At 40.5% G+C, this 15460-nt stretch overlaps 1 protein-coding gene across 21 annotated transcripts in view, besides 3 other annotated features; it reads right to left on the bottom strand.

Annotated features, from left to right (window-relative positions):
* EED (embryonic ectoderm development) overlaps nt 1-3233 on the bottom strand; it is a 42863-nt gene extending 39630 nt beyond the window's left edge. For all 21 annotated transcript variants that reach the window (NM_001440588.1, XM_017018512.3, NM_001440603.1 and 18 more), the window contains exon 1: nt 2643-3233. In NM_001440588.1, the coding sequence (NP_001427517.1) occupies nt 2643-2756 (114 nt within the window). In that variant the 5' untranslated portion in view covers nt 2757-3233. The remainder of the gene's footprint in view (nt 1-2642) is intronic.
* Nucleotides 45-339: a silencer, noted in NCBI's record as "tiled region #11891; HepG2 Repressive non-DNase unmatched - State 2:TssF, and K562 Repressive DNase matched - State 2:TssF". NCBI's record gives its function as "represses a minimal TATA promoter and a strong SV40 promoter by Sharpr-MPRA in HepG2 and K562 cells {active_cell/tissue: HepG2 | K562}" and the evidence as "EXISTENCE:reporter gene assay evidence [ECO:0000049][PMID:27701403]".
* Nucleotides 2721-3249: an enhancer, noted in NCBI's record as "NANOG-H3K27ac-H3K4me1 hESC enhancer chr11:85955779-85956307 (GRCh37/hg19 assembly coordinates)". NCBI's record gives its function as "activates a minimal SCP1, AML or CMV promoter by ChIP-STARR-seq in naive H9 embryonic stem cells {active_cell/tissue: H9 hESC(naive)}" and the evidence as "EXISTENCE:reporter gene assay evidence [ECO:0000049][PMID:30033119]".
* Nucleotides 3250-3780: an enhancer, noted in NCBI's record as "NANOG-H3K27ac-H3K4me1 hESC enhancer chr11:85955248-85955778 (GRCh37/hg19 assembly coordinates)". NCBI's record gives its function as "activates a minimal SCP1, AML or CMV promoter by ChIP-STARR-seq in naive H9 embryonic stem cells {active_cell/tissue: H9 hESC(naive)}" and the evidence as "EXISTENCE:reporter gene assay evidence [ECO:0000049][PMID:30033119]".

The raw sequence follows: 15460 nt of genomic DNA, 5'->3' as shown, positions 1-15460 counted from the left end.
GCATCCATTAGTACTCTCGCAGAAGCCAACTACTCTGCAGTCATATGATCTCAAAAAGTTCAATAAAATGGCAGGTAACACAATAAATGTAAAATATGTGCCTGTAATTCTCTGACTCACATTAACAGTAGTAACTGCTCAGGTTACCTGAACTCTAACACAAAAACATATTCCCCCACACCCCATCTGCTTTGGCCTTTTGCCATTATTTGGCTCCCTCAAGAGTAAAACTATTGCCCTTATCTTTTCTAAACTCATTTTTATACAATGTTCTCTACTCCCTTACCTTACTACTGCCCCTAAGTCAGGGGTACATGGATGAAATTCAGAAGGCTTGTGAACTCAAATGGGGAAAAAAAATTGCATCTTAATTTTTGCCACCTTTAAAATTTAGCACTTCCTTCTATTATTATCTAGGTAACACATGCTTAATGTTACTGAAGTTGTGACTCTGCCACCAATGGAAATCAAGTATTTTTATATTACACTTCGAAAAAGTGTTTATACCCATCACTACTATCAGACCCGCTGCTAGATCTTGTTACTTAATGTGCTAATAAAGTACATATAGTATAGGACTACATCTAAAATTTGTTTTAGAAATATTTTATAACATGGTGTACAATTTTATAATTGAATTTGTTTGTAACCTCATATCCTGTATTTCATACATCTAAAAATGTTATTTTGAGAAGACTCTACAAGATTAAGGCTTCCAAGGCATGCGCACGCACACACACAAAATTAAGGCTATCCAAATGGAGGAACCAAAACAAAACTAATCCAATCATTTGGTCTTGAACAGCTTTAAAATTGCAGCAAAGAATATGTTTTCCTGTAAGGGTCTGCAAGAAGAAAATAAGCTTTATTTTGTCCTTTGCAAGTTTCTTCATTCTAAACAGGTCTGACAGTTTCATTATATTTTGCCTGATTATTAAGTATGTGGAAGAGCCAGAAACATTATTCTATGTAATCATAAAATTAGTAGTAGTAATTATTATAAATAAATAACATGTGTATAGTACTTACTATGGGGCAGACACTCTTCTTAGTACTTTAGCTATATTAACTCATTTAATGCTTACAAATACTCTATGAGGTAAATACCATACACCACCATCCTCATTTTTAAGAAACTAAGACAATTATGTCAGTCTCTTGCTCGAGGTCAAGCTAATAGAACAGAAATTTTAACCTATCACTTGGATCCAGCATCTGTGCTCTTAATACTCTAATCTGCCTAGAGAAATTTAAGAAAACGCAGAAATAAAATGAACGGTCTTCAAATAATAAAAAGAAGAGGGTAAAAAATGTTAGATCCCAATGTACAGTGAGATTGGGGCGCACAATCGGGTGAAAAATACAAAAGTAACACTTAACACCCAAGCTTTTCTGAAATTTGAAGTCTAAGATCCCACAAACTGACAATCCCAAGAATATCTATCTTGTCTCTGCAAAAAGAATCCTTTCCCATCTTTTCCGTGAAAATCTTAGTCATGACATCATTATATGTTTCAGCTAGGAATTATGACAGAATTTAGAAACTGCGTGTAGAAGATGTAACATTTATTCCTAAAACTAGCCAAACTGAGAAAATGAAGAACTTACGCCACTCTTCTGAAACATTTTAAGGATTTTTTAAAAGATATTCACAAGTTGTTATATATCATGAGAAGGAGAATCACATTTTGGAGTAGTATCTTTGAATAAATTGTCAAGATACTTCGTTGACCTTACTGGTTATCAACCTAAAACATGAAACTGAAAACTTATTTATGTCAATTCGGCTCTTACTGGCGAGTCAATTAAAACTCAGTTGGGTTAAATGTTGGTACCGAATGATTACGAATACCCATTTCAGAGCTTAAAAAAATCTGATTGCAAAACATCGCGCACTTGGCGAAGCCAGGAACCCACACTTAAATACATCTGCCTATACCACTGTTGCCCAAAATCTTCCAGGTCGCCACCCCCCTCACCTTTATCTTAAGTAAAAACGTTCAAAGAAGAAATCACCCACTCTTACTTCCTCAAAGGTAGTCACTCCCCACCCCCAAATCAAAAATCGATCCTCTCAATTCGGCTCCTCCTACAGAAAAGGCGACCTTCAGGCGCACCCGGTCTCCGCGGACAGGACGGAGGCGGACACAAAACCCCCTTTAATAAAGTCTCCCAAACTCCGCAAATCGAAGATCACTTTCCATCCTGAAAATTCCACAAGGGTCTTAGAGTGACAACCCTTACGCTCCTTTAACAGGGTCCCTAACTCTGCCCCGTCCTTCCAACTTTCTTAGAAAAGTCTCTAACGTGCCTTTTAAACTACTAGAATCTCAGACCCGCACTCTCCCCTTAAATCCCCCCAAAGGCCAAAACACTCCCCATCACATGCAAACTGATTTCAGGGCAGACTTCTCAGACCCACGCAATCACTAGAACCACTCTCCTTTGCCTAGTTCCTGCTTGCTCTCGGCCCCACATCAAAATCCCCGTAGGCAATTTCAATTTTCTCCCGCACGCCCGCGTTTTCCTGAGTGACACCTCTCCCTCCCCCCACAGCAGCCCGCTCGTCCCCGCGCCCCCCGTTTTAAAAGAATTTAAAACTTTCACTCCGCAGTCTCGTAACTGCCAGAAGCTGCACTTACATTCTCGTCTCCAGAGAGGTCTGGATTGCTGTTCTCGTCACTGCTCAGCTTCTGCTTCTTGGCCGCAGGCATGTCTGTTCCCGCCGGCGCAGTCGACACTTCCCTCTCGGACATATTCCTCCGCCTCCCTCCAGGTTCCTGCCGCCTGGGGCGGGGCCTCCGCCACACCGCCGTCAAGCAAGCCCGGCCCGAGCTTGCCGCAAAGTTGCCGCTGCCGCCGCCACCTCCACCGCCCCCCCCACTGTCGCAAATCGCGCCCAGCCGCCGAGGCGGGCGTGCGTGCGACCCCGCCACACTGCTGAAAAAGGGGCGCGCGCGCGCGCCCTCCCGCGCGGCTTCCTGGCTCCTTCCCTTCCCCAACTCCCGTCTTGCCCTTTTCCCGCCGCCCTCCCGGCAGTCTACACGATGTAAGGTCCGTTGGATTAAGAGGGCAGTATTAAGTATGTCTCCCTTCCCACCACCGCCTCGAGAAGAGGCGAAACTCAAAGGGATGCTCCCTCACCCCCTTCCTCCTTCCAAAGACGTTTCAGCCGCAATTGGCCCGTTCCTTCGATCTCCGACCCGCTGCTAGGGAGCGAAAGTCTGTGGAATGGGCTACACCACCAATGTCCCAGGAAACGGGGGAAGATACAAGACGTCACCTCTTGCTTTAGCTGTGCATGCCACGTTTCCTTAATCTTGAACTTGGAGGACAGCGCTTCCTGACTATTCACGGAACTATTCATAACCTAATTCTTCCTTGAAGATAGAAATGCAAAAACAGTAACCTGCTTCCCCCTGGCTTCCCCCATCTGGCGAATGGAAAGTACCCGTCAGGGGATGCGCAGGCGCCGTGGCGTACTCTTGCGCTGGGTTCGTCGAAACCCGCCTCCTCCAAGCCCCTCCTCTGTTTGAATTCTCGTTTGCTGAACCAGGTAGTTTTCTACCCGGTTTCCGAATCCCAGGGTGGATTTCAAAGCGCTACCGAATTATACTCTAGACGCTTCGTAAATTCTTGTCGGATATTTATTCTGTTGACTATTTATTGTAATGAATGATTATCCTTCCAGTTGCTACCAATAGTGGTTAAGACTTAAATAGAAATATCCTAACATTATGAGACTAGACTCCAATGAGTTACAGCCAAAGTGCTCTTTTTAGCTGCTAAAGGATAGGCCCTGAACTACGCCAAGGCCTAAGAATCAGTGCTCATCTCCATTATGAGATTGTGATACTTAACCGACAATGTTTTGCTTGTTTTTGCACATCAGATACAATGAAATTCTAGAAGGCAACACAACTGTTAAACTTCACCAAAATATTTGCCTCTGTTACTATATCTATTCTCTAGCAGGTGCCAGATAACATTGGTGAGCCTTGTGGAATTATTATATGGGTCATGAAACCATAACTGAATGAGCAGCAGGAAAAGGAGAGTGATGACGAAAAATAAAATACGGCATCCGCCACCTTTTTTTTGTTTTTCTTAGAACATGATTGTGACTACTTATCTATTCGGGCTTCTGTAAAAATGTCCTCATCTGTAAAAATGAGGAGGCAGGAAGGGAGAAAGGGACCTACCATTTCTTGGGCACCTGCTTGATGTTGTATATCTTTTCTCTTCTAGACCTCATTACCCACCTAGAGTGCACCATCCATAAAATTCTAGTATACTTGAATTATTTCTGCATGATAACTTTATAACCAGGACATCAGTTTCCTTATCTGCAGATTGCAAGTCACTCTTTCTTTTGTAGATAAAGAGAGAACTCTTGGTTGAGAATGAGAAAAGGAAGTAAAGCAAAGGCAGGTCAGAATGAGAGGTTTCTGCAGTGAAGACTTTGAAATAAAGAAGCCGAAAAAAAATTAAAGTTGAGGTCTCAATGACGGCAGTCATTTGTTCAGTACTTCCAATGTTCCAGGCACTACTAAGCACTCCTCAGTTGGTGAGAAGAGATGAGACTGGAGTAGAGTAAGCTCCTGACAAAGTAAGACGTGCTTTGGCATGACATTTTCATCAGCAGACAGAAACATCCTTCCCTTTGTTAAGAACATCTTTCCCAACAAAGGGAAGGACGTTTCTGAAATATAGTTCTACAAGTAAAGGATAATTGACTAAAGCATTTCAAATTAAAATTACTCCGTGTGTGAGAGATTAGTGGGAGCTGGGAAGTGGGAGTCAACGTCTAGTCATAAAATTAGAAAAGTGCTGAACATTTGGATAAAGGACACATATGGTAGAAAAATGCCTTACAGCATTCATATTATCTGTAACAAAGCAAAAATAGTTTAAAGAGGCTTATTAAAACTTGAAGGGGTTATTTTTAAAATGTTTCTGATGAATCAGGGGTGATAAATGGAAATTAGTTTATATTACTACGTTATTGTCACTACATTAAAGGAAAAATATTCTGACACTTGTTAAAATAGTAAGGAACACTTAATTCAGGACTATTTTGATAGCTGTCAAGACTATCACAATAGGAGAGAGATCAGGCTCAACTCCAAATTACAGCAAGGAGTGGGGATGTATAGTCAAGGAGCAAAGTTGGAGGGGTTGGTGGTTGGAAAATTACTAAGAAGAGACATCAAGAATGGGGAAACTTTTGCTACACCAACTTAACAGAATTTGTGCTAAAAAAGGCCGGGGTGATCAGATATCCAGGGTATGGGTTTTTCTCTAAACTGATGCAGAATTCTTGCTACAGCTGAGCCAGGCAAGCTAGACAGGAAGATGGAGAAGAGGGCTCAGAGGAGAGTCTTTGTTACTAATTTAAGATATGTAAAATGTCATAGGTGTTCCATGCAGAGTACTACTTTTGTGGTATTAATTTAATAACCATAAAAGTCTAATTACCTATTAAAAATAAGTTTTGCTGAGTGCATTGATGTGTACCTGTAGTTCCAGCTACTCAAGAGACTAAGGCAGGAAGATTGCTTGAGCCCGGGATATCAAAGCCAGGCTGCGCTGCATAAGGAGACCTACTTCTCTAAAAAAGAAAAATTTGTACGTTTCTCAACACTGCATTCTCCTACTGTGAAAGATCTCAGGAACCATCACAGTTGGAGAGGTCTTACTACCCACATTTTACAAATGAGGAAACTAAGACTTAGGATAAGTAAACAGTATGCCCAAAGACACACAGCTGTTCAAGTGGCAGTACTAGAGATTGTGTTCAATTGATTGGAAAGCCAAAGCACTTTTACCTCAAGATGAGGGACCCAGGCAGCTCTAAATTTATGTAATTCTATGCACAGAGCTTGGTCTTTAGACCACAGAATTGTTTATAAAGTATCAAAGAACTTTAAAAAGCTATCTCACTTGGGACAGAAAGAAGATACAACTGGGAAAACAAACAAAGAATCTATAGCATAGTTTATAGTAATGTACGGATTTCAGTCTTTACTTAATTTTGACCAATGTAACATGGTAATGTAAGATGTTAATAATGAGGGAAACTGGATGAGGGGAATACAGGAACTCTCTATGCTATCTTTGTTCTTAGTAAATTTTCTGTAAAAGTATTCCAAAATAAAAACTTACTTTAAAATATCTATCTCATACTTGGCTGTTGAGAATTCAGTAAGAAATACCCCTTAGCCTTCAAGTAAGTGGTTGATCCATCTTGGAACTTTCCAAGATCATTTACTTATATAGAAAAAGAAAATTCACAGCGTTCCTTGGCATTGTCTCCTGGTATCTTGTAAGCTTCATATCAGGAAATGAGTTTCAAAAGCTAAATTAAATCCTTCCCATTTCAACTGGAGTCTATTTCTCATTCATTCAACATTTTTGTCTCTTCTGCTTCATAAATAGCAGCTGTTCATCATCATTCATGCAATGTGTAATCATATGCTTGCAGATCTGGTTTTCTATGAACAGAACATCATATGGCTTATTTGAACGTTTTCAAATCAATCAGGAAGAATTTACTGAATGCCATTTACATGCAAAGCAGTAGGATAATTCCAGGGGCAATGGGGAGGAGGGGACAATAAAAAAGAAAATAAGACACAGTCTCTACCTTCAAACAGCCTAATATTCATCCAGCGTTAAGAAATAACGAATGGGGCCGGGCGTGGTGGTTCATGCCTGTAATCCCAGCACTTTGAGAGGCCGAGGCAGGTGGATCACCTGAGGTCAAGAGTTCGAGACTAGTCTGGCTAACATGGCGAAACCCCGTCTCTACTAAAAATACAAAAATTAGCCTGACGTGGTGGCTGGAGCCTGTAATCCCTGCTACTCGGGAGGCTGAGGTGAGAGAATAGCTTGAAACCGGGAGGTTGAGGTTTGCAGTGAGCTGAGATCACACCATTGCACTCCAGCCTGGGTGACAAGAGTGAAACTCTGTCTTAAAAAAAAAAAAAAGAAAAATAACGAATAGATTTAATATATATTTACTGAGTACCTACTGTGTGCCCAACACTGTTCCAGGTGCTGAGGAAACTTGACAATAAGCAAAACCAGACAATTTCCTGCTGTCATCATGCTTATTGACAAGTAGGAGAAACAAGCATTAACCAAATAAATGTGAAATTACCGTGGTAAGTGGTATGAAGGGGAAGTACAAGGTCAGGGCTGCTGCTAGCCCATATGGTATCTTTGTGCTATTTTTTAAAAGGCCATAGCAGAAAGAGCCCAGAGTAGGTAAAGCTTGGCAAGCAAACAATGACTTTGGTAAATTAGAAAAGGCACCCCCTTTTCCAGATTGATACAACCCTGCTCCGTGTGCAAGGCTTTGTGAGTGGAGCACAAATTTGATTTTAGTTTTAGTTGTCACCTCAGCTGGGAACCCTTGTTTAGATGAACAAGCTGCACAGGCATACACAGCAGCTGGACAAAGTTTCCATGGACGTGTGTAATAAAGTGAGACATGGGAGGGTTTCCCTGAGAAACAGACAGAAGAGTAGAACTAAAAGAAGAATGGGAGTTAACCAGTCTCCCATTAAGAAGAGAAGGAGAAACATTCTAGGGAGTGATAACAGCATGTGCAAAAGTCCTGGCGCAGGAATATGAGAAGAGTACAAACGCCATTGGTACACTGAAAGGTCAGTGCTGGTGAAGGACTGAAAAGAGAAGGTGACAAAAGTGTGGTAACAGAGAAGGCTAGAAAAGAAGGTAAGGGGCCAGATCGTGGAGGATCTTATAGACCTTCTTAAGACAAGTCTATTAACATGTATCTCCTGTTGATAAGACTTATACAGAAGGAATTAGAATGGCATTATTTTAACTCTGTTTGTATTTATTTCACTTATATACAGTGAAATGCACAGATCTCAAGTATATAGTTCCATGTGTTTTGACACAGGCATACACCCATATAATCCACACACCATCAAGATACAGATGGAGCTTTCCAACACCTCAGAAAGTTTTCTCATGCCTCTTCCCAGTCAAACCTCTCCTCTCTTTCTCCCCAGGCAGCCACTATTCTGTTTTGCCTATATTTGCATATTAGTTTTGCCTATTGTAGAACTTCATATAAATAGAATAATTCAGTATGTTCTCTTTTGTATCTGGCTTCTTTTGCTCAGCATAATGTTTTTTAGATGTATAAAATGACATTAGCTTTTAAAGAAAAATACTGCCTTTAGCTTTCAAATACTATCTTTAGCTTTTAAATATTGTCATTAGCTTTTATGGCCGGGCGTGGTGGCTCATGCCTATAATGCCAGCACTTTGGGAGGCTGAGGTGGGCGGATCATTTGAGCTTAGGTGTTCGAGACCAGCCTGGCCAACATGGTGAAATCTATCTGTATTAAAAATGTAAAAATTAGCTGAGCATGGTCGTGGGTGCCTGAAATCCCAGCTACTCAGGAGGCTGACATAGGAGAATCACTTGAACCCAGGATGTGGAGGTTGCAGTGAGCAGAGATTGCGCCACTGCACTCCAGCTTGGGCAACAAAGTGAGACTCCATCTCAAAAAAAACAAAAACAAAAACTGTTATTAGCTTTTAAAGAAAAATACTGTATTTTAAAGGAAAATACTGTCTAGGTCAATGGTTCTCAAATTGTAACAATTCAGAAACATCTGGATAGCTTGTTAAATCACAGTTGCCTGGGCCCTATCTCCAGAGACTCTGATACACTGGGTTGGGATCCAGCCTCTCAATGTGCATGTCTAACAAACTCACAGGTGATACCAGTACTGCTGATTTAAAGATCACGCTTTGACAACCACTGGTCTAGATGACAAATCAGAAATGTCTTATAATCAGTTTCAAGGAATTTTTCTGTTCATTTAATAAACACTTTCTTAAAGTACCTGCTATGTGCTAGGCACTTTCTAGGTGGTGGGATTCAAAAATAAAACATCACGCCTCTCCTCTAGTAACTTATAGTCTAGTAAGGGAAGACAGAGGTAAACCAAATGAGTATCACTAGTTGTCTTAGAAAATCTGTTCACTATCTAATGGAATAAAACCTTAAAAGAGAGAAAGTGCTTTTGTTTTCCGAAGTAGATAAACTGCCAGGCGCAGTGGCTCATGCCTGTAATGCCAACGGAGGCGGGAGGATCGCTTGAGCCCAGGATTTCGAGACCAGCCTGGGCAACATAAGGAGACCTTGAGTCTATAAATAAAAATACGAAAAAATTAGCCAGGCATGGTGGCATGCACCTGTAGTCCCAACTACTTGGGAGGCTGAGATGAGAAGATCACCTGAACCTGGGAGGTCAAGGCTGCAGCGATCATGCCACTGCACTCCAGCCTGGGTGACAGTGAGATTTGTGTCAAAAAAAAAAAAAAACCCAACCAAATAAAAAAACAAACAACAACAAAAACAAAAACTAATGTAGATAAACCACTAGGAATAAAAGCAAGGCTGTATAATGGATGTCCCAGACACGGGATTCCTTACTGTCAAGCTAACTGCAAAGGTGATCAGTAAGACCTACTTTACTAAGTGTTTTCCATGTGTCTGGTACTGTGCAAAATGCTTTCTACACAGCATGCCATTTAATCCTCTCAATATCACTATAAATCTGGTACTATATTATCCATGTCTTACAGATGACTTGTAGCTCACAGATTAAGGGATTAGACAAAGGACATTCAACAAGTAAGTGGGAGAATCAGAATTCGAACCCAGATCTCATTGACCCAAGTGCTGGTCCTTTTAAACACTAATACTTACAGGTCTCTGTTAGAAAAACAACCTTCATAAATAATTTTAGTGCTACCTAGTGCTATAATACAAATGCTCAACAGAGAATACATACAGTACTATGACAGAACAGGTAGGGCAGTAACTTGGTGGAAATATGAGAAGGCATCACGAAGAGGTGAGAATTAGCTTGGAAAGTAAATTTTTGTCAGTGTTACCCTGACAAAAGTCTGAGAGACAGACAATCCATTGGATGCAAACACTACATTCTGAGCATTAGCAAAGAACACTGTCTTGTGGCTAAAGAAAAGTTGATTAGGATCACTTATAGCTTGAGTGAAATCTCCCTTATAATTATGCAGTGCCTTTGTTTACCACATACAGTCATGTGCTGCCTAATGACATGTCACACAATGACGGACTACATGCACAGTGGTCCCATAAGATTTTAATGGAGTTGAAGATTTCCTATTGCCTATTGATGTCATGGCAGTAACAACATGGTAGCGCAATGTAGCACAAGGCATAAAGCCTTTCTTGTTGTTAAAGGGATGCATGACTCAGCTACTCGGGAGGCTGAGATAGGAGGATTGCTTGAGGCCTGGAGTTTGAGACGAGCCTGGGCCACAGGGACACCCCATCTCTTAAAAAATAAAATAAAATGAGAAAATAAGCCAGGCATGGTGGCGTGTGCCCGCAGTCCCAGCTACTCAGGAGGCTGATTCAGGAGGATCACTTGAGCCTAGGCATTCAAGGTTGCAGCTTTGGAGACAGAGCAAGACCCTGTCTCTAAGAAAAAGAAAAAAGAGAGAGAGAGAGATGCTATCTTGTGAGTGCTATTTCAGCTTTCTGGTTTCCTCGATAATAGAAAGTGCCCTAAAGAATGGACATTCCGGGCCGGGTGCTGTGACTCACACCTATAATCTCAGCACTTTGGGAGGCCGAGGCAGGCAGATCACCTGAGGTCAGGAGTTCAAAACCAGCCTGGCCAACGTGGCAAAACCCCATCTCTAGTAAAAGTATGAAAATTAGCTAGGCGTGGTGGTGGGCACCTGTAATCCCAGATACTCAGGAGGCTGAGGAGGGAGAATCACTTGAACCCAGGAGGCAGAGTTTGCAGTGAGCCGAGATCATGCCACTGCACTCCAGCCTGGGCAACAGAGCGAGACTCCATCTCAAAAAAAAAAAAAGAAAGAAAGAAAGAAAAAAGAATGGATATTCGTATTCCAGTCACTGGAGAGGTATACTCCACAGCATCTCTTCTTCTTCTTCTTCTTTTTTTTTTTTTTTTGATGGAGTCTCACTCTGTCGCCCAGGCTGGAGTGCAGTGGCATGATCTCGGCTCACTGCAAGCTCTGCTTCCCGGGTTCACGCCATTCTCCTGCCTCAGCCTCCCCAGCAGCTGGGACTACAGGCACACACTGCCGTGCCCGGCTAATTTTTTGTATTTTTAGTAGAGACGGGGTTTCACCGTGTTAGCCTCGATCTCCTGACCTTGTGATCCGCCCGCCTCGACCTCCCAAAGTGCTGGGATTAGAGGCGTGAGCCACTGTGCCCAGCCAACAGCATCTCTTCTATTTGTTTATTTGAGACAAAGTGTTGTTCTGTAGCCAGGCTAGAGTCCCGGGCTCAAACAATCCTCCAACCTCAGCCTCCTAAGTATCCACAGCATAACTTTAATACTTTGGCAAATGGTTCATGAATAAGTGTCTAGTTTAGGAGGGGTCACATCATGAAAGGCCTTATGCCATTGGTCTGTAAAGTAATAGGTAGCCAAAGAAGGGTTTTCTCTTTGGCAAAGGTCAGAGGGTAAGGCTGAGAGATGGGCTCAGGGGCTATTTCAGCTATTTCAGTACTGCAGACGTGAACTAAAGCAGTGCCAATGAAGATGAAAAGCAAGGGGTTGGTTCCAGAGATATTTAAAAATGCAATCAACAGGACTCAATAATTCATGGACCGTGAGGGGCTTAGGATGACTCAGGTTTATAGTTTAGCTGACTTCCTGGATCACGGTATCTCTAACTAAGATAGAGAAAATAGGAGGAGAAGTAGGTGGAATTTTTAACTTTTAGTGTTGAGAAGATAAGCATAATATAATTTAACTTCTCCCTAAACCCAAATATAGTCTTAAGGGTAAAGGCCAACAACAATGCCTATCACTAATTAAAAGGAATAATTGGCCGAAAAAATGGATGTAATTCCAATGTCTTGTACATTTTATCTTTCCTTTTCTTTCCCTTTCTCTCTCTGTCTTTTCCTTTCTCTCTTCCATTCTTCCTTCCTTCTCTCTCTTTCTTTCCTTCTTTTTTTTTTTCTTTCGAAACAGGGTCTATGTTGCTCAGACTGGTCTCAAACTCCTAGGCTCAAGCAATCCTCCCACCTTGGCCTCTCAAAGTGTTATGATTACAGGCATGAGCCACCATGCCCAGCCAAATATTTTGTTCTTTAAAAATATGTTTGTGTGAAAAAGTGTGTGGGACAATATGTGTGTGGAAAAGCTTAAACCATTTATTATTGGAGGAAAAATTGTTGAACAATGAATATATTTCAATTTTTGAAACAAAGGTTTGCTCCTGCTTTTAAATTACCAGCCTTGATTTTATGAACGATAAAATTTTATCCACAATCTTCCTCTTACACAGTAAGAAAAAGTCTGAAGAAAAATATATTTTTTTAGTGACTATCTTCTGAGATTCTCAGTGCTCTTTTCAAATGTAAATCAAAACCAGCAGTGTCCCTGTTTAAACACTAAGACAAAAAGGATCCAGAAAGTTGTACTGAGAGATAATATTCATTGACGGGGCTTGCTCTATACAGGCAGGTTTGCACAATTTATCTTATTTAATCCTCATAACATTCTTGCATCTGTATTTACAAATGAGAAAGCTGAGACAGGGAAGTTGAATTACTAACTCCAGGTCACAGAGGTAGTGGTGGAGCTGGATTTGAATCCACACAGCCTAACTCTCAGACCTGAGTTTTTTTTATCACTTCACCATATGGCATCCCGCTGAGTTGTCAACATGTTCCTTTCTTTCTTTTCTTTCTTCCCTTTCTTTCCTTTCTTCTCTCCCCTCCCTCCCTCCCTTCCTCCCTCCCTTCCTTCCTTCCTCCCTTGCCTCTTTCTTTCTCTCTCTTTCCCTCCCTTCTTCTTTTCCTTTCTCCTTCCTTCCTTTTGTTTCTTTCCTCCCTCCCTCCTTCCCTCCTTTCTTTTTCTTTCTTTTTCATTCCCTCCCTCCTTCCTTTCTCTTCCTTTCTCCATTCTCTCTTCCTTCCTTCCTTTCTCTTTCTTTCTTTCTTCTTTCTTTCCTTCTCTCTCTTTCTTTCTTTTCTTTCTTTCTTCCTTTCTTCCCTCCCTCTCTTCCTTCCTTCCTCTTTATAATTTAGGTCATAAGCATGTATTACTTTTGTATTTAAAAAAAAAGCTTACTTGAATTTAAAAATCAATCAGATCAATGAATTTATTTTAAATATCCCTTCCCATTGATTCCCTGAAAAGATCACCTCTGTAACTTTAAGCATTGAATACATTGCAGTTTGAAAGCAAAGTCTTGTCTGGTGCATGTACATGATTATTGTACCTAATTCTCTGAAAAATAGGCTACAATTACTACCAGGTTAATTAACCGTTATTATCTTAAAGTCAGGATTATTACAGATAAATGCCTAATTCTGAAATAAAACTGGGAATTAAAGCCAGATAAATGGGAGTTTTGTTGTTATTTTAACATTTTGTAAACTTTTTTTCTTTTTTTCTTTTTTTTTTAGATGGAGTCTTGCTCTGTCATCCAGGCTGGAGTGCAGTGGCACAATCTCGGCTCACTGCAACCTCCACCTCCCAGGTTCAAGCGATTCTCCTGCCTCAGCCTCCCAACCTTTGTAATCTTTATATTGTCTGAAAGTTTATTAATCAGCCATAAGAAATTCACTCCTATCTATAAATTAAAGTCAGTGCCCAAAGAGTCCTGAGATCTGAAATTTATTTTTACTTTTTTTGTTTTTCTTTTTTCTTTTTTTTTTTTTTTTGAGACGGAGTCTTATTCTGATGCCCAGGCTGGAGTGCAGTGGCACGATCTAAGCTCACTGCAACCTCTGCCTCCTGGGGTCAAGCGATTCTCCTGCCTCACCCTCCTGAGTAGCTGTGACTACAGGCGTGCCCCACCACACCCGGCTAATTTTTTTGTATTTTTAGTAGAGACAGGGTCTCACCATGTTGATAAGGCTGGTCTCGAACTCCTGACCTTGTGATCCTCCCACCTCGGCCTCCCAAAGTGCTGGGATTACAGGTGTGAGCCACCGCGCCCAGCCACTTTTATTTTTTTTCTGTGAATTATGCAGAGAAGTTGAGATCTGAAATTTAACTTAGCACTGTGAGGCTAGACCCTTAGAAATGCAAAACTGTATTCCCAATTTCTTTGTAAATTTTTTTTTTACGTTCATATTGGTTTGTTACTATAAGATGTCTCAGGAGAATTAGCCTGTTGGATCAGATATAATGCTGTTTTTTGTTGAAATAAGCCAACATCAGGGAATTTTTGTGTTGAAAGAGTAATTACATATATGAAATTACACAGACTTTGCAAAACAGTGTGAGCATTAAAAGAAAATAAATGAAAAAAACAACTTTTAAAATAGGTTGCATGTGATTTCACTGACCTTGACGCTAATCTACCATCAGTACATATAAACAAAGCAAGAAAATAAATATACTTAATAGGTTTTATGTAAAAATTACTTGCTGCTTTTAATTCAAAGATATGTGTATACTTAAAAACTTGTCTGGGAGAAAATCTTAAATAGGGTTAAAACAACAAGTTTTTACAAATGAAGATATTAGTAAAAATATATTTTCCTTGAAAAGGGGTAAATTAGAAATTAAATATCTTGAATTTACTCTAACATGGGTTCTTACTTTACTTTCTTTCTTTGAGGGACCAAAAGGTGACTTAGAACAAAGATTTGATAGAGCGAGTTCAAGCACTAATAAGGTGCAGAGTGTCAAATAATTGTGAATCAAGACTTTGATGAGTTAAGTGTAAATGACTCAGAAACATGGATTATATTCTTCAAAGTACACATGAGTTTAGAAGTGCAGAGGAAAACATGCTCAGTAAAATGCTCAGAGGCATCCTGAAACCCAAATACTTCAAATGTTGCATTTCAGCATTTGAGGTGTGCACAAAATGAGATCACGGCAATCTATATCCAGGGTAAACAGTGGAGATAATTTGCATTATCTTCATTTTTCCTTCTCATATTTTCTGAATCTTATGCCCAGGAATAAGGATGCTGTATTAGCCTTCCCCAGAGGAAAAGAACAAGTAGTGTATGTGTACATATATAGAGAGAGACAGATTTATTTTAAGTAACTGGCTCATGCTATTATGGAGCCTGGAAAGCACAAAATCTACAGTTCTAATCTGAAGGTCATGTGCTGGCAGAATTCCTTCTTGCTCAGAAGGTCAGTCTTTTGTTCTAGTCAGACCTTCAACTGATTGAATAAGGCCCACCCACATTATGGAAGGTGATCTGCTTTACTCAGAGTCCACTGATTTAAATGTCATTCTCATCCAAACACCCTCACAGAAACATTCAGAATAATGTTTGACCAAATAGCTGAACACAGTGGCCAAGCCAAAATTAACCCTTACAGATGCTTAGTTAGTTCATATTGTCTGCCTGTTAATTAAATTTGACATTTAGAATACTAAAGAAATGCTAGTTCAAAGGGAT

The sequence above is a fragment of the Homo sapiens genome, chromosome 11, assembly GCF_000001405.40.
Source record: "Homo sapiens chromosome 11, GRCh38.p14 Primary Assembly".
Taxonomy (NCBI): Eukaryota; Metazoa; Chordata; class Mammalia; order Primates; family Hominidae; genus Homo; species Homo sapiens.
Note: the sequence above shows the minus strand (reverse complement) of the source record. Positions and strands in the feature narration are given on the sequence as shown.